At 45.4% G+C, this 21524-nt stretch overlaps 2 long non-coding RNA genes across 40 annotated transcripts in view, besides 4 other annotated features; one reads left to right on the plus strand and one right to left on the minus strand.

The window, feature by feature from the left end:
• The window catches only part of PIWIL4-AS1 (PIWIL4 antisense RNA 1), a 195024-nt gene that overhangs the window by 91298 nt on the left and 82202 nt on the right, over positions 1-21524 (minus strand). The gene's annotated exons all lie outside the window — the stretch shown is intronic.
• LINC02700 (long intergenic non-protein coding RNA 2700) lies at positions 1414-20839 on the plus strand. Of its 37 annotated transcripts, NR_187338.1 has the most exons (12): positions 1414-1531; positions 1623-1724; positions 2045-2138; positions 3197-3268; positions 3585-3693; positions 5371-5528; positions 7341-7505; positions 10706-10949; positions 11388-11479; positions 11631-11759; positions 13845-13908; positions 14848-20839. It is a non-coding gene; the product is annotated as a long intergenic non-protein coding RNA 2700 (long non-coding RNA). The 37 variants fall into 37 exon arrangements; NR_187347.1 differs by having other exon boundaries at positions 1414-1724; positions 2065-2260; NR_187349.1 differs by having other exon boundaries at positions 1414-1724; positions 2065-2138; positions 3585-3697.
• Positions 3386-3885: an enhancer, noted in NCBI's record as "H3K4me1 hESC enhancer chr11:94373181-94373680 (GRCh37/hg19 assembly coordinates)". NCBI's record gives its function as "activates a minimal SCP1, AML or CMV promoter by ChIP-STARR-seq in primed H9 embryonic stem cells {active_cell/tissue: H9 hESC(primed)}" and the evidence as "EXISTENCE:reporter gene assay evidence [ECO:0000049][PMID:30033119]".
• Positions 9991-10724: an enhancer, noted in NCBI's record as "OCT4-NANOG-H3K27ac-H3K4me1 hESC enhancer chr11:94379786-94380519 (GRCh37/hg19 assembly coordinates)". NCBI's record gives its function as "activates a minimal SCP1, AML or CMV promoter by ChIP-STARR-seq in naive H9 embryonic stem cells {active_cell/tissue: H9 hESC(naive)}" and the evidence as "EXISTENCE:reporter gene assay evidence [ECO:0000049][PMID:30033119]".
• Positions 13144-13719: an enhancer, noted in NCBI's record as "OCT4-NANOG-H3K27ac hESC enhancer chr11:94382939-94383514 (GRCh37/hg19 assembly coordinates)". NCBI's record gives its function as "activates a minimal SCP1, AML or CMV promoter by ChIP-STARR-seq in naive and primed H9 embryonic stem cells {active_cell/tissue: H9 hESC(naive and primed)}" and the evidence as "EXISTENCE:reporter gene assay evidence [ECO:0000049][PMID:30033119]".
• Positions 19800-20736: an enhancer, noted in NCBI's record as "OCT4-NANOG-H3K27ac hESC enhancer chr11:94389595-94390531 (GRCh37/hg19 assembly coordinates)". NCBI's record gives its function as "activates a minimal SCP1, AML or CMV promoter by ChIP-STARR-seq in naive H9 embryonic stem cells {active_cell/tissue: H9 hESC(naive)}" and the evidence as "EXISTENCE:reporter gene assay evidence [ECO:0000049][PMID:30033119]".

Consider the following 21524-nt stretch of genomic DNA (forward strand, 5'->3'; position numbering starts at 1 on the left):
GTCAAAACTTCTCTGTCCATCTCAGGCACTTAGAATCTCCCTTCCCTGTATCCTCCCTGTACCACACACACAACTCCATTCCTGCCCTTCTAACAGTGCAGCATAGTTTTTTCTACATTTTTCTCTCTGGCTGTTTTGCATATCTTTGTGATCTCATCGAACAATAGCATCTGGTAGGCCCTCAATATCCATTATTTAGATAAATGCATGGAAGCTTAGATAGTCAGATGGGCTGCTTTTAAATAAATGGGGTGATTCTAAGAATTTCATCAGCATCTATCTTCAAGCCCCTCAATAATGGCATCCCTGGTTGCTTTACAATAGGTGGGATCAGCCTCTTTTATTATCTCTTTAGAAGGAAGCATGGGAATATTCAATTTATTCCAAAATATATTGCTTTACGCTTGGATAATGGTCAGAAAAACTGGAAGTATGAATATATATTTGAATCATCTGGGAATCTATTGAAACCCAAACTTGCATTTGATGAGTAGTGCTTACCCTGGGCCAGGCCACTCAGTGCTTGAGCTGTGCTATCTAAGATGGAGGCTCTAATCACATGTGGCCTTTGAAGGCTACATTTAAAGTAATTGAAATCAATCCAGTTCCTCAGTCATACATTTCAAGTACTCAAAGGCCACACGTAGCAGCCACTGTATTGGAAAGTGAAGACATAGAACATTTCCATCATCACAGAAAGTTCTATAGGAGAGTGCTGACCTAGATGATTCCTCTTTATACTTCGAATCAGATAGTTCTCTTATTTAAGGCTTCCCTCATCCCTCCAAGCCATATTCTGTTTGGTTCGCAGTGACAGAAATGTCCTGGGCACCAGGGATTCAGAGATGAAGAAAATGTCATTGCTGCCCTGGAACAGCTTAAAGCAGGGACTCTCAACTGGGGCGATTTTGCTGCCTAGGGGACATTTGGCAGAGACTTTGTATTGCCATTAATAGTGTGGGGGGTATGTGTGTGTCTGTGTTCATGTGTGTGTTGTGTGTGTCTGTGTCATATGTGTGTATGTGTGTGTGTGTATTACTGGCAGACAGAGGGCAGCGATCCTGGGTAGAGGGCAGAGATGATGCTAAGCATTCTACAACGCACAAGACGGCTCCCCCTCCCTACCATCAAAAATTTGGCCCAAAATGTCAATAATGCCAAAGCTGAGAAACCCTGGCTTGAAGCCTTGTTGGGGAGAGAGACACAGGAGCACAAAGTACCAATGTCATGTGGAAAGTGAGCAGAGAGTGGTAGAGCACAGCCGTCGGACTGGGAGGATTCCCAAGCTGAGTCTGGAAGGAGCTGCATGCCTAGTCATTCCTTCTATGATCTAATAATGCTTTGCCCATTCCCCTCTGCAACACCTAACACTGTGATGTATTTTAACCATCAGTTTACACATACTTCTCTCCTGTGAGACTGTGAATTCTTCAAAAGCAGGTACTGTGTTTAATGAAGTGTGCCCAGGACTTTGCTCAGTGACTGGATGACACAGTAGGAGTAACAAGAAAGTTCACATGGGTGAACCGTGGTAGGTGGACATCGTCTCTCTCACCTCTTCCCAAATCAAGGATGAAGTACATCTTCATAAATCCTCATGTGAATTATTTTGCTACCTCTAGAAGCATTTTCTAAAACAAGGTGCAGCAATCAGTTGAGTGAATTTGTCACCAGAGCTTATGTTTTCTGAAAGAACCCTATCCTCAGGCAGTTGTTCCTAAGAGGTGAGTTGTGGATTTAGTTCACATACCTTCCTTCGTGGCTTAAAATGCTCCACATGCCTGTCTCCCCAACAGCATCAGATCACCATGCAGTAAAATACCAAGTCAGAACAGCCAATGCTGAAAAGAGTGACAGTTTCCTTTCATGATGCAATGCACTTGGAGCCAGGGGACAGGGAGACAATAACTGCAAGGAGAAGTGATGACAACCCTACTTTAATATAGTAGTTCCTTTTGAATTTTATAGACTTACCCGTTAATCTCTAGAATTTTGAAAAAATTCCTTAAGTGATGTGAGCAAATAACACTTTGCCTTGGGTTAGCCTTTTCCTTTCCCTTGAAGATTCCACAAATATGTCAGCGCTGGAAATGATCCTTTGGCTTTGAACTATGTGAAGACTGCAGAAGGACTGGTTGGTAAGCACCCACATCCTGGGGTGAGAATCACATCCAGTTTATACCTCCCTGTGCACACTTGTATAAAACAACTATAAGACACACGAGAGATCTGGAAGCCAGTTCCTCATAAGTAAGAATTGGTAAGAGCTCTTAAGCAGCATGTCTGAGGTTTAATAACTCGCCCTGTCTGGAGCCTTTTGTGTGTCTCACTTTCTTCTTAGCAAAACATGAGCATTACACTCTGTGCTGGAAGATTCCCTTCCTTCTTCCGGGCTTTTGATTACCCAATCCTTCTTTACTTTCACTTCTTGCTCAAAGCAGCTCTTTCTCAGCCATTTCTAAAAAAGGTTTATGAGATGCTGCAGGGCTGTGTCTCTAAATTGGGCCCTGTGTGCCTATATCCTCATTCTCTGCAGCTGCTGAATTCTTTCTGTGGGATCAGCCTTCTTCTAAGTGCTGGGGTGATGGGAACATAGCTGTAAACTGATTTTGACAGGAAGCATCACTTCCGGCTGGAAACAAGTCCCTGGTTTATGCAGCACATAGTACTAACTGTGGAACACTGTTAAACATGTCTCATTCCGCCCCCTCCACCAGCAAAAGGCCTTGCTGCTCAGTTGTGCACCAGATGATGTGGCATATGCACATACTGGCCACTAATGACAAAGCCTGACACCATGCAGTGGACATCTCTTGGGACCTCAGCCTCTTTCTCCTGGAACTGACCCCATCCTCCCTTCGCTACATGATCACCATGGGTGGATTCCCAGCAGCCATGCTTGTAACATGCATCCTGTCCTCTCTGGCCACAGACAACTACAATACAGATGAGCAGCCCACCCAAGATTCCTTCTCTAAGAATTTAGAACTGGGAATGGAGGAGAGAAAGAGAGAGATACTGATTCTACCAGAGACAATGGGATGAGATAGCATGGTTGTTGGAACCATGGCTGGAACTGTAAAGCACAAATTGGACAGCAGATAAAGTTGGTTCACAGAGAGAGAGAGAATGATGAAGCCATAGGGATCCAAGTTTCCCTATGGCTTTCCTCACCCTAACTCCTGTCCTTCCACAGGTCAGGCTGCATTTGTATCCTGGGTCCACAAGACATCGTTTCCTTAAAACCAATCCCCCTGATTTTGCTAAGGTGAGTCGGAACAAGTTGATTTCTGTTACACACACAAACACACACCCCACATGAGACAGCCAGGTAGGAAGTGCTCCCTGGCAGAGCCTCCCTGACCTGCACACTGGGAGGAATGCACGCTGGGGTGGAGCCTTGGGAGGTTCGCGTGGTTTGCAGTGGGGAGGAGCCTGCCGCCCTCTTCCTGGGTGGAACCTGGGATTCAGTTCGCCAGGCAGGAAGTGCAGTAGCAGGACTCTGGCTTTCCGGAGAGTCTCTGTTTTTCCTTTTTTTTTTTCCCTTTTCGCCCAATAAATACCATTTTTCTCACCCTTCAAAGTGTCTGCAAGCCTAATATTTCATGGATGTTTGACAAGGACCCCGTCTTTAGCTGAACTAAGGAGAAAGTCCTGCAACACACACATGGAGCTCAGCAAACGGAGGATGTAGTAGGTAGAATTTTTAAATGGCCTCTATGATTTCTTTGCCTGGTATCCACATCTTTGTGTCATCCTCTCCCCTTCAGTTGTGGGAGGGATGTATAACTTGCTTCTGAAAAGTAGAATATAGTAAAGGTGAAGAAATCCTGCAGTTGAGGTGAAGTTAATGAAAAGGGAGATAATCCTGGGTGGGCCTGACCTAATCAGGTGAGTTCCTGGAGAATGTCAAGTAAGAAGCCTAGAGTCAGAGACTCACTCTTTCCTGTTAGCCTTGAAGAGGCAAGATGCTTCAGTTCTACAGCTGCAAGGAAATCAATTCTGACAACAACCACGTGTGCTTGGAAGACCACCACCACCATCACCACCACCACCACCCCCCGCCCCGCCCCTGCCCCTCTGAGCCTCAGATGGGACGCTAGACCCTCCCTGATTATAGTCTGCGAGACACTGAACCTGGACTCCTGGTCTATGGGAGCTGTTTTAAGTTTTAAGCTGTTAATTTTTGGTAATTAGTTATGCAGCAAATGGCTGTGTTGTTATTCCCATCCCCCTCTTCCCACCTGTCTCCTTTAAATAAAAACCAGCATTTCAGGTCTGAACTGTCATGACTCCAATCTGCTTGTCAAGATGGACTCTAAGTAGAGTCAGGTGAAGAGGCCAGGTTAGCTATATTCCTTCTTATTTTCCATCCTTCAGTCATGGCCTGAGCCTTTTCCTTCCCTGAAATCTAATGAGAATCACTCCTCAGCTGATTATCATGGACTCGATGGCTTGTCATTAAGAATACCTCAGCCACAGGCAGCAGTGAGAAGAGAAGTGAAGGAGGAGGGGTGTTTAGGAAATGCCTGGTCCTGAGGGCGGAAGCAGTTTTGAAGTTGCACCTGCTCTGACAGAAAACTCGAGTGTAAGACTTACTGATGTCATTCTCCTCAGTTCTTCATGGACGTAGGACTGTCATGGGGAAATTAGGCAAAGATTCTGCTTTGGCAGGAAGAACTATGGCTCCCTGCCCACATCCCTTCGTTCAGCTCCCTCCCCCATTGGCCAGAATACACCAAGTTGTCAGCACCAGCCGGCCCGTGGCTATTCAGAATGTCTCTGGAAACCATGAAGGCTAGGAGGCATGAGATCTGGGTGCTGGGGCTGGTGAGTCCTCTAGTAACCAACCCAACTGTAAAGAAGTAATAATATATGGCATCTGCATAATGGTCTACGGCTTCCAACTTGCTTTAAGCTCTATTTATCCTTTGGGTCTCTCATCAGCCCTGGAAGAAAAGCAGTTGTCTTTGTCAGGCCTCTGAGCCCAAGCTGAGCCATCATGTCCCCTGTGACCTGCACGTACACATCCAGATGGTGGGTTCCTGCCTTAACTGATGACATTCCACCACAAAAAAAGTGAAAATGGCCTGTTCCTGCCTTAACTGATGACATTGTCTTGTGAAATTCCTTCTCCTGGCTCATCCTGGCTCAAAAGCTCCCCCACTGAGTACCTTGTGACCCCCACTCCTGCCCGCCAGAGAACAACCCCCTTTGACTGTAATTTTCCTTTACCTACCCAAATCTTATAAAACGGCCCCACCCCTATCTGCCTTTGCTGACTCTCTTTTCGGACTCAGCCCGCGTGCACCCAGGTGATTAAAAGCTTTATTGCTCACACAAAGCCTGTTTGGTGGTCTCTTTACACAGACGCACATGAAATTTGGTGCTGTGACTCGGATTGGGGGACCTCCCTTGGGAGATCAATCCCCTGTCCTCCTGTTCTTTGCTCCATGGGAAAGATCCACCTACGACCTCAGGTCCTCAGACCGACCAGCCCAAGGAACATCTCACCAATTTTAAATCGGGTAAGCGGCCTCTTCTTACTCTCTTCTCCAAGCTCTCTCACTGTCCCTCAACCACTTTCTCCTTTCCACTCTTCAATCTTTCCCTTCTCTTAATTTCAATTCCTTTCATTTTCTGGTAGAGACGAAGGAGACACGTTTTATCTGTGGACCCAAAACTCCGGTGTCGGTCACGGACTAGGGAAGGCAGCCTTCCCTTGGTGTTTAATCATTGCAGGGATGCCTGATTATTCACCCAAGTTTCAGAGGTGTCAGACCATGCAGGGACGCCTGTCTTGGTCCTTCACCCTTAGCAGCAAGTCCCGCTTTTCTGGGGAAGGGGCAATACCCCAACCCCTTCTCTCCATGTCTCTACCCCTTCTTCACCTTTCTGGGGGGCAAGAAACCCCCAACCCCTTCTCCTTCACCCTTAGCGGCAAGTCCCGCTTTTCTAGGGGAGAGGCAAATACCCCAACCCCTTATATCTCTGCGCCCCATCCCTTATTTCCCCACCCCAACCCCTTATATCTCTGTGCCCCGATCCCTTATTTCCATGCCCCAACCTCTTATATCTCTGCACCCCAATCCCTTATTTCCGCGCCCCAACCTCTTATATCTCTGCACCTTTGTGCCCCAACCCCTTCTCTGCTTTTCTGGAGGGCAAGAACTCCCCACCCCTTCTCCGTGTCTCTACTGTTTTCTCTGGGCTTGCCTCCTTTACTATGGGCAAGCTTCCACCTTCCATTCCTCCTTCTTCTCCCTTAGCCTGTGTTCTTAAGAACTTAAAACCTCTTCAACTCTCACCTGACCTAAAATCTAAGCATCTTATTTTCTTCTGCAATGCCGCTTGACCCCAATACAAACTCGACAGTAGTTCCAAATAGCCAGAAAATGGCACTTTCAATTTTTCCATCCTACAAGATCTAAATAATTCTTGTCATAAAATGGGCAAATGGTCTGAGGTGCCTGACATCCAGGCATTCTTTTACACGTCGGTCCCTCTCTAGTCTCTGTTCCCAATGCAACTCATCCCAAATCTTCCTTCTTTCCCTCCCACCTGTCCCCTCAGTCCCAACCCCAAGCGTCACTGAGTCTTTCTAATCTTCCTTTTCTACAGACCCATCTGACCTCTCCCCTCCTCCCCAGGCTGCTCCTCGCCAGGCCGAGCTAGATCCCAATTCTTCCTCAGCCTCCGCTCCTCCACCCTATAATCCTTTTATCACCTCCCCTCCTCACACCCGCTCTGGCTTAGTTGGTCTGGCTTAGTTTCATTCCGTGACTAGCCCTCCCCTACCTGCCCAGCAATTTGCTCTTAAAAAGGTGACTAGAGCTAAAGGCATAGTCAAGGTTTAATGCTCCTTTTTCTTTATCCCAAATCAGATAACATTTAGGCTCTTTTTCATCAAATATAAAAAACCCAGCCCAGTTCATGGCTCGTTCGGCAGCAACCCTGAGACGCTTTACAGCCCTACACCCTAAAAGGTCAAAAGGCCGTCCTATTCTCAATATACATTTTATTACCCAATCTGCTCCCGACATTAAATAAAACTCCAAAAATTAAATTCTGGCCCTCAAACCCCACACCAGGATTTAATTAACCTCGCCTTCAAGGTGTACAACAATAGAAAAAAGTTGCAATTCCTTGTCTCCACTGTGAGACAAACCCCAGCCACATCTCCAGCACACAAGAACTTCCAAACGCCTGAACCGCAGCGGCCAGGCGTTCCTCCAGAACCTCCTCCCCAGGAGCTCGCTACAAGTGCCAGAAATCTGACCACCAAGCCAAGGAATGCCTGCAGCCCAGGATTCCTCCTAAGCCGTGTCCCATCTGTGCAGGACCCCACTGGAAATCGGACTGTTCAACTCACCTGGCAGCCACTCACAGAGCCCGTGGAACTCTGGCCCAAGGCTCTCTGACTCCTTCTCGGCTTAGCGGCTAAAGACTGACACTGCCCGATCGCCTCGGAAGCCCCGTAGACCATCACGGACGCCGAGCTTTAGGTAACTCTCACAGTGGAGGGTAAGTCCGTCCCCTTCTTAATCAATACGGAGGCTACCCACTCCACATTACCTTCTTTTCAAGGGCCTGTTTCCGTTGCCTCCATAACTGTTGTGGGTATTGACAGCCAAGCTTCTAAACCTCTTAAAACTCCCCAACTCTGGTGCTAACTTAGACAATACTCTTTTAAGCACTCCTTTTTAGTTATCCCCACCTGCCCAGTTCCCTTATTAGGCCGAGACACTTTAACTAAATTATCTGCTTCCCTGACTATTCCTGGATTACAGCTACATCTCATTGCCACCCTTCTTCCCAATCCAAAGCCTCCTTTGCGTCCTCTTCTTGTATTCCCCCACCTTAACCCACAAGTATAAGATACCTCTACTCCCTCCTTGGCGACCGATCATGCACCCCTTACCATCTCAGTAAAACCTAATCACCCTTACCCCGCTCAATGCCAATATCCCATCCCATAGCATGCTTTGAAAGGATTAAAGCCTGCTATCACTCGCCTGCTATAGCATGGCCTTTTAAAGCCTATAAACTCTCCTTACAATTCCCCCATTTTACCTGTCCTAAAACCAGACAAACCTGACAAGTTAGTTCAGGATCTGTGCCTTATCAACCAAATTGTTTTGCCTATCCACCCCATGGTGCCAAACCCATATACTCTCCTATCCTCAATACCTCCCTCCACAATCCATTATTCTGTTCTGGATCTCAAACATGCTTTATTTACTATTCCTTTGCACCCGTCATCCCATCCTCTCTTCGCTTTCACTTGGACTGACCCTGACACCCATTAGGCTCAGCAAATTACGTGGGCTGTACTGCCGCAAGGCTTCACAGACAGCCCCCATTACTTCAGTCAAGCCCAAATTTCATCCTCATCTGTTACCTATCTCGGCATAATTCTCATAAAAACACACGTGCTCTCCCTGCTGATCGTGTCCGATTAATCTCCCAAACCTCAATCCCTTACAAAACAACAACTCCTTTCCTTCCTAGGCATGGTTAGTGTGGTCAGAATTCTTACACAAGAGCCAGGACCGCACCCTGTAGCCTTTCTGTGCAAACAACTTGACCTTACTGTTTTAGCCTAGCCCTCATGTCTCCGTGCAGCGGCTGCTGCTGCCCTAATACTTTTAGAGGCCCTCAAAATCACAAACTATGCTCAACTTATTCTCTACATTTCTTATAACTTCCAAAATCTATTTTCTTCCTCATACCTGACGCATATACTTTCTGCTCCCTGGATCCTTCAGCTGTACTCACTCTTTGTTAAGTCCCAAAATTACCATTGTTCCTGGCCCAGACTTCAATCCGGCCTCCCACATTATTCCTGATACCACACCTGACCCACATGACTGTATCTCTTTGATCCACCTAACATTCACCCCATTTCCTCATATTTCCTTCTTTCCTGTTCCTCATCCTGATCACGCTTGATTTATTGATGGCGGTTCCACCAGGCATAATCACCACACACCAGCAAAGGCAGGCTATGCTATAGTACAAGCCACTAGCCCGCCTCTTAGAACCTCTCATTTCCTTTCCATCGTGGAAATCTGTCCTCAAGGAAATAACTTCTCAGTGTTCCATCTGCTGTTCTACTACTCCTCAGGGATTATTCAGGCCCCCTCCCTTCCCTACACATCAAGCTCGAGGATTTGCCCCCACCCACGACTGGCAAATTAGCTTTACTCAACATGCCCTGAGTCAGATAACTAAAATACCTCTTAGTCTAGGTAGACAGTTTCACTGGATAGGTAGAGGCCTTTCCTACAGGGTCTGAGAAGGCCAGCACAGTCATTTCTTCCCTTCTATCAGACATAATTCCTCAGTTTAGCCTTCCCACCCCTATACAGTCTGATAACAGACCAGCCTTTATTACTCAAATCAGCCAAGCAGTTTTTCAGGCTCTTAGTATTCAGTGAAACCTTTATATCCCTTACAGTCCTCCGTCTTCAGGAAAAGTAGAACAGACTAAAGGTCTCTTAAAAACACACCTCACCAAGCTCAGCCACCAACTTAAAAAGGACTGGACAATACTTGTACCACTTTCCCTTCTCAGAGGTCAGACCTGTCCTCAGAATGCTACAGGGTACAGCCCATTTGAGCTCCTGTATAGATGCTCCTTTTTATTAGGCCCCAGTCTCATTCCAGACACCAGACCAACTTAGACTGTGCCCCCAAAAAACTTGTCATCCCTACTATCTTCTGTCTAGTCATACTCCTATTCACCATTCTCAACTACTCATACATGCCCTGCTCTTGTTTACACTGCCAGTTTACACTGTTTCTCCAAGCCATCACAGCTGATATCTCCTGGTGCTATCCCCAAACCACCACTCTTAACTCTTAAAGTGAATAAATAATCTTTACTGGCAAGGCTATGCTGAACCTCCTTAGGCACTCTCTAATTAGATGTCCTGGGTCCTCCCAATTCTTAGTCCTTTAATACCTGTTTTTCTTCTTCTCTTATTCCGTTTAGTTTTTAATTTATACAAAACTGTATCCAGGCCATCACTAATAATTCTAAATGACAAATGTTTCTTCTAACAACCCCACAATATCACCCCTTACCACAGAATCTTCCTTCACCTTAATCTCTTCCACTCTAGGTTCCCAAGCTGCCCCTAATCCCGCTCAAAGCAGCCCTGAGAAACATCGCCCATTATCTCTCCATACCATCCCCAAAAATTTTCGCCATCCCAACACTTTACCACTATTTCGCTTTATTTTTCTTATTAATATAAGAAGACAGGAATGTCAGGCCTCTGAGCCCAAGCTGAGCCATCATGTCCCCTGTGACTTGCATGTACACATCCAGATGGCCAGTTCCTGCCTTAACTGATGACATTCCACCACAAAAGAAGTGAAAATGGCCTGTTCCTGCCTTAACTGATGACATTGTCTTGTGAAATTCCTTCTCCTGGCTCATCCTGGCTCAAAAACTCCCCCACTGAGTACCTTGTGACCCCCACTCCTGCCCGCCAGAGAACAACCCCCTTTGACTGTAATTTTCCTTTACCTACCCAAATCTTATAAAACGGCCCCACCCCTATCTGCCTTTGCTGACTCTCTTTTCGGACTCAGCCCGCGTGCACCCAGGTGATTAAAAGCTTTATTGCTCACACAAAGCCTGTTTGGTGGTCTCTTTACATGGACGCACATGAAAATCATCATTCCTGTTTTACAGATGAAGAAACTGAGGTCCAGAGAAGTTAAACGACCTTCCTAAGATTACACAGCTTAGTAAGTGGCAGAACCACAGCTGGAAGCCAGGTCCTTCCTCACGCAAGTCCTGGCTCATTCATTCCTCTTCCAAAGACTTGCTGAGCACCTTCTAGGTGCCAGATGCGGTGCTGGCTCCTGGGGACATGGGAGTGAACAGGCCAGGCGTGGCCCTGAACCATCAAATAGACAACCACAGAAATAACAACGTGAGTTAAAATGAGATTATGAAGAAGAGACACAGGTTTCTACAATGGTTTAGTAGAGGGATCTCTAACCAAGTTTGGAGAGTTGAGAAAGTCTCTATGAGGCAGTCACATCCATGTAAGCTAAGATCTGAAAGACAAAAGTTGTTATCCAGGAGAGTGGCAGCAGGGAGAGCATTCCAGATGCAGGGAATAGCTTGGCACGTTTGTGGAAGAGAAAAATCTGTTAACGTGATTGTAGGGTAGGGTGGAAAAAAGGAGAAATGGAGCAAGATGAGGCTAGGGAGGCAGGCAGGGACCAGACTACGAACTGCCTTAAAGCTCTGCTTAAAAATGTTTGCCACGATTTGAAGAGTAATGGGAAGCCTTGAAGGTTTTTAACCAGAAGAGTCTTATATTTAGATTTGTTATTTTTTAAATATCACACTGGCTGCTGTTTAGGAATGATGCTGGAGGCTGACGAAGATAAGGGTGGAAAGTGGGCAATAAATCAGGAGCTGTTGCAACATTCCCAGCAAAGGATAATGGTGAATGTAATGGCAATGGGGATTTGGGGAAGCAGGGGGGCCTCGTGGCTGATTGGATGTGGTGTTGGTGAGGGAGGAGGGGTCACAGATTTCCATCCTCCCATGGGTGTTTCTATCTCCCAGGCTAGGCTTCTTGTGTTTGCTTTCCTTCTTGCAGAACAAAGACAAAACCGGGCCCTTCCACACAGTAGCTGGAACACAAAGGAAGATCAGCCAAGCCTCAACATAATCTCATAAAAATTCTTCAAATATCCCATTGTTATGGATTCATACATCAGGAAAGCAGGTAAAATATTTCACCTTGATGCTCACCTAGATGGTCAGACTCTTTGAGGAAGACATCAAACTTTTCCCCAGAAAGAAAAAATAAATAACTTTTTAGACTATACAAAAGGGTCAATGTCATGTTACATAAGATGCTCAAACTCCTGTCTTGATGTTAAGTCCACTGGTCTTACCACAGCTTCTGAACACCAAGACTGCTGCTGTGACAGTGACAAGAGAATTATTTAGAATTAAAAAACAATTGTCCTTACATTTTCTCCTCAAAATTCTAGGGGAGAAAGAGCTTCCAAGTAAGCAGAGCCAAGGCACTATTGAGAGTGACAGACTGGAAAGAAAGGAATTAAGTGGCCTTTAGCTCCTGTCTGTTGGAGAGTGGTGTAGTAGAAAATACTTAGGCTTTGGAATCTGAGCTGGGTTCAGATCCTGCTTCTCTCATTTACTAGCTGCATGTAGATGAGTATCTTAAATTGCTTTTTCTGTGTCACAAATGACAATTTAAAAAACCTCTATCTCACAGGTTATTATAAAAAGTAAGACACGCATTCAAGGGTAGCATAGTACTAGGCACAGAGGAAGAACATTCAACAGGTGTGAGAGACAATGTTGTCAATATGCTATATGCAAGGAAAAATGTTTTTAGGTATTTTTTGACTCTTTGATGCTGAATGGAAAATTCTTCACTGTCATTAGCAATAATGGAGAAGATAATTTCAGTTTGCAATTGGAGGCTCATAAAACAAGTAACTGGATTTTCAGAAAAGTTAAGTATTTGTTGAATCTATAATGCACTAATCGTTTTGTAAGGTGATGTGAGATACTTAAAGAGGCATTAAGATACAAACATAGAGACTAGTGGGTGAGACATAAAAGCAAAGACCTAGGAGAAGGAAGCTCATCTAGGAAAGGAAGCTCCTTAGATCTAGCTTGGCTGAGTTGCAAGCCAGACTGGAGAAGGTAAGTGCTCTCAGAAACAGGAATTGCTGTCTGGCAGGGCCTGAATGATAAGATCTACTCTTCCCCTGTCCAAATGCAACCCCTAAAAGCCAGTTCAGAATAAATAAGGAAGAATATTTTTTTCAGAGCAATTAAGAGTCATTATGAAGTAGGTCAGAATAAAATATGGCAGCTTCAGGCTGTGTGCGATTACTGCTCTGATATTTATCTGCAAAGCAGGAGTCATTTATCCTATTCTAAAATAAATAACTCGGCCAGGCATGGTGGCTCATGCCTGTAATCCCAGCACTTTTGGAGGCCAAGGCAGGTGGATCACCTGAGATCAGAAGTTCGAGACCAGCCTGGCCAACATGGTAAAACCCTGTCTCTACTAAAAATACAAAAATTAGCCAGGCATGGTGGTGGGGATCTGTAATTCCAGCTACTCGGGAGGCTGAGGCAGGAGAATTGCTTAAACCCAGGAGGTGGAGGTTGCAATGAGCCGAGATTGTGCCACTGCACTCCAGCCTGGGTGACAGAGCAAGACTGTGTCTCAAAAAATAAATATATAAATAAATAAAATAAATAACTCAATGAGTTTTCAAAAACAACCAAAAAATCAGCTTGAGAAATAGTTTTCAGACAAACTTAGCCTGAGTAGACCCACCCTGAGAGATTTGAGGGCTCTACTGAGGCAGGAGACTAGGGCCTGGAGGCAGGGAACATAAAGCCAATCCACACTGACTTTACTAAATCAAATGAAAGCACCTTAGCAATGACAGGAATGTGAATGGTTTTGTAAATTCCCTTCATCCTCTCCATTCATACCATTTCCACTTTGTAACTTCACTTTCATCCTCTCCATTTACATAGATCACACACCAACTAACATCCTCTCCATTTACAGTAGGGCACATTCTGAGTAAATGACTCTGTGACTTCACTTTATTCACTTCATTTACATAGAATATTCACCAAGTGACCAACGGGAAACCTCTAGAGCATTAAAACCCCAGAAAATTCTGTAAGCCGGGCTCTTGAGCCTCTATGATTGGGCTGTTCCCACACTGTGGCGTGTACTTTTATTCTCAATAAATCCCTGCTTTTGCTTTCCTTGCCTCATTTGTGCATTTTGTCAACTTCTTCATTTGAGATGCCAAGAACCTGAACACCTTCTACTGGTAACATATATTTTGGCGAGCCAGCCTGGAGACAAGGTAGGCCCAAAGTTTGGGATTTATTTTTCTTTCCCCTTTTACATACAGGGAAACCTTTTTCTCTCTCTTTTTCCTTTCCAACTTGGGACCCTCCGTGATCAGCGCCTAAACATAGAGACAACTGCAAGTTTCCAGCCAGGGCCACTCTCTGGTGAAACCTACAGGTTTCCATGTGACGCATCTGACCACCACCACCCGGCTGGGTGGGCAACCTGAGTCCTTTTCCTTGGTTTTGTTTTTCTGAGTCCTATTCCTTTCTCCCTTTTACTGAGTTATTTTTCTTTTTCCTGTTTCGGTCTTTCAGCTACTCCTAGTAGCTCCCGGTTAATTGAGGACAGCTGGCCGGGGCCACTCTCGGGTGCCTTCTGAAGGCCAAGAAACGAAAAGGGATGGCTGCCCTGCCCAGAAGGGGGAAGGACTTTTTTCTATCTCTCCGGTTAGAGTTCCTCATCCCAACATGTGACGCAATTGCTGTGGCAGCTCATCCAGGGTGAACTCACACATGTTTCAGACAACTTAAACCTTCTTTCCTCATGCCAAATTCTTCCCTTCCTCCATTCAGCTGTCTAAGGACAAGATAGAGGGTTCAGATATGTCATAAATTGTGAGAATTAGGGAAATTAACAAAGGGGATTTATGCAGGAACTGACGTGTAGGTTTACTGCCCAAATTTATAGAGTTAAAGGGTTGCTTTAACTGGGATAGAAAATCCTCAAGGAAAAGTTAACAGTAGGTCCTCAGTGGAGGAGGGAACCATTCCAAAGTGGTGCCGGCACCCATCTAAGGTTGGAGATGTGCAACAGACTAAGTCAGACCCTTAAGGGGGAAGCCCTCAGGGACCCCGTGCTGGGCCCAGAATTTTTCCAGGGGAATGCCCCGGGTAAAATTTGGGTCACCTAATAAACCCTCCACTTTTCAAAGTCCTCTTCTCTTTTCCAGACCACTATGGGCAACTTCCTGTCTATTCTACCTGGTGTCACTGTGGACAACTTCCTATCTATTCCACCCGATTCACCGCTTGGCTACATCCTCCACCATTGGGATGAATTTGACCCTAACAATCTAAAGAAAAGGCATATGATTTTTTACTGCAATATTGTTTGACACAATTATGAGCTGCCCAATCCGGAACAATGGGCAGTCAATGGTAGCCTTAATTATGATACCATCCTGTATCTAGACCTATTTTACAAGAGGCAGGGCAAATGGTCAGAAGTCCCACATATACAGGCCTACATGACCCTATACGAAGACCTAAGAATCTAGGAAACTCCCAGAACCCATCCCCCGAAGGAAAGTTCTGGGGCAGAACTAGATATTATAGATGAACCCCCTTTTACAAGGGATACCTGTCTCTCAGAGTGAGCAGTGACTGTCCCCATATAACCCCTCACCAAGTGCTCCTGAGGCTGAAACCCAGGGGCAAACATGGGGAACCCTACTAAGTCCCCCTCACACTTGGAGGGGAACACTGTATTCAACTCTCTATCCAGCCCTGCTACTCTCAGAGAAATAGCAGGGGCTGAGGGGCCAATCCTAGTGTGGGTCCCCTTCTCTATGATTGATATACAACAATGTAAGGAAAAGCTAGGAAGCTATTCTGAGGATTCCGGGAAGTTTGCAGATGGGTTCCAAACTTTGACCTTAGCCTTTGATCTCTCATGGAGAGACGTTCAATTCACTCTAGCAACCTGTTGCACCTCCTCGGAAAAGGAACGAATCTTTGAGGCTGCCCTCCGAGAAGTGGACGAATTATTCACCCAAAACCGTAAAGGCAGTCACCCAGGCCCAGCCACAGTTCCCACTACGCATCCTAATTGAGACCAAGACACCCCCGCAGGAAGGAACAACTGGGCTAAATTTCTTGAGGCTCTTGGAGGAATGAGAAAGGGAATAACTAAGGCAGTAAATTATGATAAAGTAAGGCAGATTACACAAGGCAGGGAGGAAAACCCAGCTGTGTTTTACGGCAGGCTGCGGGAAGCCTTTAAAAAATATATACTAATTTGGTCCCTTCCTCTCCTGAAGGCAAGTTATTAATGGCACAACGTTTCATTAGCCAATCCACACCAGACATTAGACGTAAGCTCCAAAAGCTACACATGGGGCCACAAACTAACCAAAATCAGCTTCTTGGTACTGCCTTCATGGTGTATAACAATCGTGACCTGGAGGAAGGAGAAGGGAAACAGAGTAAAGAAAAACGGCAAGCCAAAATTATGTTAGCCATCACTGGTGATGCCCTAAATGCACAAAGATTGTCCAAGGGAAACTCAAAGGGCCATAAGGATAATGCCAGCAAAGGCTCTTGCTTCAAATGCAATAAAAGTGCGATTGGGCACAGGAATCCACTAAGCCCCCGCCAGTCCCCTGCCGTCAATGTAAAAGCACCAGTTGTGGCTCCTGGCCCTGGAGAATTGACTGTCCCTGCTCCCACCAAGGGGCTCAGTCAGTCAAAACTCTGGCAGTGCACAAGGAGGAATCAGATGAAGACTGAAGGGGCCTGGGGCCTTCCTCACTGCCCCGTCTAGGAACATTGTAATTACTACTGAGGAACCCTGGGTAACTCTGGACATCATGGCCACCCAAATTCAGTTTTTATGTGATACCAAGGTGAATTATTCTGTACAACTGCTTATGCAGGAAAACTTTCCTCCCGGTCCATGAGTGATATTGGATGGAAGGGAAGCCACAAACAAGATTCTTACTCCTCCTTTGGTTTGTCAATTTGAGAAACAAATCTTCCAACAGGAATTTTTAGTAGTACCAAGCTGCCCAATTCCCCTGTGGGAAAGAGATATTATGGTGAAAATAGTGACACTACTGCAATTTAAGCAATATTAGCAGGTGAAACTGCTAATAGTAAGAAATAAGGCAATGTCCCAGACCATGTCAATAAACAGGTTAACCCACTGGCATGGTATACTGGAAACCCAGGGAAGGCTAAAACAGCAGTGCCAGTCAAAATACAGCTTAAAGACCCCAGCCATTTTCCCAATGGAAAACAATACCCAGTTGAACAGGAAGCAAGCAAAGGTCTAGCTCCCATAGTTGAGATATTACTTACCCATGGACTCTTAAAACCCTGCAATTCTCCCTGCAATACCCCCATCTTACCTGTTCTCAAGCCTGGGGGGAATACCAGCTAGTACAGAACCTCAGAATAATGAATGAGGCTGTTATCCCCGTCCACCCATTGGTGGCAGATCCATATGCCCTCCTGGCTCAGGTGCCAGGGCATGCAAAATGGTTCTCAGTCCTAGACCTTTCTTCTCCATTCCTCTGGCCCCGAGCCCCCCAGTACCTTTTTGCTTTCGAATGGGAAAATCCTAATACCAGATAAAAACAATACACTTGGACAGTGCTTCCTCAGGGCTTTCGGGATAGCCCCCACTTCTTTGCCTGAGCATTAGAGCGGGATCTGAGGGATTTCAAGTTAGAAAATGGAGGTATTCTTCAGTATGGGGATGACCTTGTGTGTAGCCCAACCTAGGAGGTTTCTGACCAAAATACTATAAAAACTTTGAATTTCCTGGCAGACAGAGGATACAAAGTGTCCAAAAAGAAGGCTCAGATTACCCTCCAATGGGTCCACTATTTAGGATATGTCTTAACACCCGGAACCCGGCAAATATCCCCAGAAGGAGTGCAAGCTATATGTGGTTTGGCCGCGTGCACCACCCCCAGCCCCCACCCTGACCCACCTCCAAGCAGCAGCTTTGTTCCTTTTTGGGGATGGCCGGGCTTTGGAGAATATGAGTACCAAATTTTGGGCTCATAGCAAAGCCCCTATATGAAGCAACAAGGGGGCCTGAAAATGAGCTAATGGAATGGACCCCGGAAATGAGGAAAGCCTTTGCCAAGTTAAAACAGGTTCTCACCCAGGCTCCTGCTCTTGGTATCCCAGACCTAATTAAGGCCTTCTCCTTGTATGTAGCAGAGAAGAGGGGCATAGCTGTGGGAGTGCTAGCCCAGAAATTAGGATCAGAACCCAGACCAACCGCCTACTTCTCAAAAAAGTTGGACGGAGTGGCCTCAGGATGGCCAAGTTGCCTGCGGGCAATAGCAGCCACTGCTGTTAGTGGAGGAAGCCACTAAAATCACCCTAGGGCAACCACTGGAAGTTCTAACGCTCCATCAGGTAAAGTTAGTCTTAGAAATAAAGGGACACATCTGGATGACAGGGGAAATGTTAACTAAATACCAGCCCATGCTCCTAGACAATCCAGATATAACTCTTAAAACCTGCAACACTTTAAATCCAGCTTCATTGCTGCCCACAGGCCCAATAATTGATCATTCCTGTGAGCAGGTCATTGCACATACATATGTTAGCCAGCCTGATTTAAAAGATGAGGCTCTCCCAGATTCTGAAGCTGACCGGCTCACAGACGGCAGTAGTTCTTTGTCGAATGGGGAGCACAGAGCTGGATATGCAGCAGTAAATCATGACACAATTATTGAAGCCCAGCCAGTGCCCCCTGGCACATCAGCACAAAAGGCTAAAATCATTGATCTTACTCAAGCATTAATGTTGGGACAAGGGAAAAAACTTAACATCTATACAGATTCTAAATATGCATTCCTTGTGGTTCATGCTCATACCGCCATCAGGAAAGAAAGGGGATTACTTACTAGCAAGCACTCCCCTATAGAGCATGGACCTGAAATTCTGCAGCTATTGAAGGCAATACACCTGCCAAAGGCCATAGCTATCATTCATTGTAGGGGGCATCAAAGGGACTTAACCCCTATAGCACAAGGGAATGGAAAGGCTGACGGAAGCCAAAGCAAAAGCCCTCAGCGTGCAATCCCAACAGATCCTAGCACTGCTTCCTTTCTACAATTCCCCAGTAGAACCCAAATACACACCACAGGAAGAACAGCTAATAAAAAAAGCAAGGGAGACAAAAACAAGGATCCTGGTGGCATATGGAGCCAAAAATATATCTCCCTCAGGCAGCCCAGTGGAGAGTTATAAAAGCCCTGCATGACTCTTTCCATGTGGGGAGGGATGCGGCTCTGGCCATGGTAAACAAGTTCTTTACTGGGTTTAACTCAGCTTCAATGGCTAAGCAGGTCTGTCAAGCCTGCTCACTGTGTGCATTTAACAATCCAGGCATCAAAATGCCCCCTCTAATAAAACCAGTCCAAAGGAGGGGAACTTATCCAGGGGAAGACTGGCAGTTAGACGTCATCCATATGCCAGCTTGCAGAGGATACAAGCTTTTGTTAATACTAATAGATACTTTTAGGTTGGGTCAAAGGTTACCCCAGAAAAGGCTAATGAGGTTCTAAGGTCCTCTTAAAAGAAATAATTCCCCAGTTTGGGTTACCTCAGGGTCTCCAAAGTGATAATGGCTAATCCTTTATCTCCCAAATAACTCAAGGGGTTGCTAAGGCTCTTGGAATAAAATACTATTTACATTCAGCCTGGAGGCCCCAATCCTCTGGAAAAGTGGAAAGGGTTAACCAAACTCTAAAATAAGCACTAGCTAAACTATGTCAGGAAACATCAGAAACTTGGGTTAGCTTATTGCTCACAGCCCTTTTAAGAATTTGTAATACCCCTAGCTCAAAAATTAACAGAAGCCCATATAAAATGTTATACAGAAGGCCATTCTTAACTAATGATTTAATTATTGACCCAGAAAGAGTTGGTGTAATTAAATACCTAGTCAACCCAGAACAATTCCAGCGGGTTTACAAGAGTTTGGAATTCAAAGGCTCCTCACACTTGGAACTAACCAGCAACCCAAAATCAGGCCAGGAGATAGGGTACTTGTTAAAACATGGAATGAGGGATCACCTGCCCAACAATTACAACCCCAATAGAAGGGACTTTTTTCAGTAATACTGGCCACGTCTTCTGTGGTCAAAGTACTAGTATTAGATAGCTGGATACATCTTTCAAGGATCAAACCATCAATACCAGAAGCTCCAGACCAGGAACCTGAAGTTCCCATCAGCCAGTACACCTGTGAACCAGTGGAGGACCTGAAGTACCTGTTTAAAAGATAGCCAAAAGATAAGTAAATGCCTACCAACTTTCTTTGGTGTCTTTGTTGCATAGTTACTGTGGGCTGGAAAATAGTAGCCATTTTTATCTTTGCAGTTTAATTGCCTTCTTCCAAATAGATAAAAATCACTTCCTTTGTAATAATTAAACAGAATTTAAAAAATACATTTCTATGACAAATATTCCTGATGGCATAAGTATCCACCCCAAGGTTCCCATTAAATCTTTTAACCTAAAGTATTTCCTCTCACCTAGAGATCATCGAGCTGTGTGACAAGGGTGCCAGCCACTCCAGGTGAAGACACCACCCCAGGCCATCAAGGATCTTCCCTACCTTCACTAAACAGAGCAGGGTGAAAGTTGTGTGATCCCCAATAGGTAGGGACTACACCCCAAGTCAGCAGGAAGCAGTTACAGAAGAAAGACCATTGGTCCCTCTGCTTCCCATAAAGATTTATGGGGATCACAGCTTTCACGGGGGAGATGAGGCAAGAGAATAGGGCATGCAGGCAGGGTACTTGAGGCCAATCCACGCTGACTTCCTAGAACTGAATTAAATGAAAGCTCCTCAGCAATGACAGGAATGTGAATGGCTTTGTAACTTCTTCCTCTCCATTAATGCTATTTCCACTTTGTAACTTCACTTTCATCCTCTCCATTTACATAGATCACACACCAAGTAACATCCTCTCCATTTACAGTAGGGCGCATTCCGAGTCAATGACTCTGACTGCACTTCGTTCTCCTCATTTACATAGAACATTCGCCAAGTAACCAATGGGAAACCTCTAGAGTATTGAAACTCCAGAAAATTCCGTAAGTGGGGCTCTTGAGCGTCTACACTCGGGTCGCTCCCACACTGTGGCGTGTACTTTTATTCTCAATAAATTCCCGCTTTTGCTTTCCTCGTTCTGTTTGAGTGTTTTGTCCAATTCTTTGTTTGAGGCGCCAAGAACCTGGACACCTTCTACCAGTGACACTACCAATTTTTGATTCCATTAAAGATCACAGGTATTTTCTGAACATTTACCCTGTACCAGTCTTGCAGGGTCCAAACTCCTGTTAAAGAGCTTGTGGGCTAATGGAGGGAGCAGGCATGTGAACAAGCAAATTATGAAATAGCGTGCAGAGTACAGCAGTAGAGATGTATTCTAGGATCAGAGGTCACACAGAGGAGGGGTGCCTGATTAACTGTGCAGGGAGACAGGGAGGGAAATGTCTGAGGTGGGTCTGAGGTGAGAACAGTAGGGTTCAACAGAAGGATGAGGGAAGTGTGAAACAGTGTTCAGGGAATCATAAGCGGTTGGAACTCTAAACAGTCCTCACCTTACCTGGCTCACAGCAGGAGAGAGCCACGGGCAACTTTTCATGATTTATTTTTGATTTGCAGTGCATGGGACACACTGTCCCAAATTCCCCCTTGCCATTATTCAGTGAGTCTACTTTTAGCTAGTTTTGATCCTTGTTCAAAAACAGATACATATTTTAGGTTGTTGCTATTTGTTTATACTTGAATGGGGATAAATTCTATGTGCTTTATCAAGAGCTTTAGATATTTAAAGAGCAAGACAGTCTGAGTGCCCAGCGAGAAAGCCTG

Source organism: Homo sapiens, chromosome 11 (genome assembly GCF_000001405.40).
Source record: "Homo sapiens chromosome 11, GRCh38.p14 Primary Assembly".
Lineage (NCBI taxonomy): Eukaryota > Metazoa > Chordata > Mammalia > Primates > Hominidae > Homo > Homo sapiens.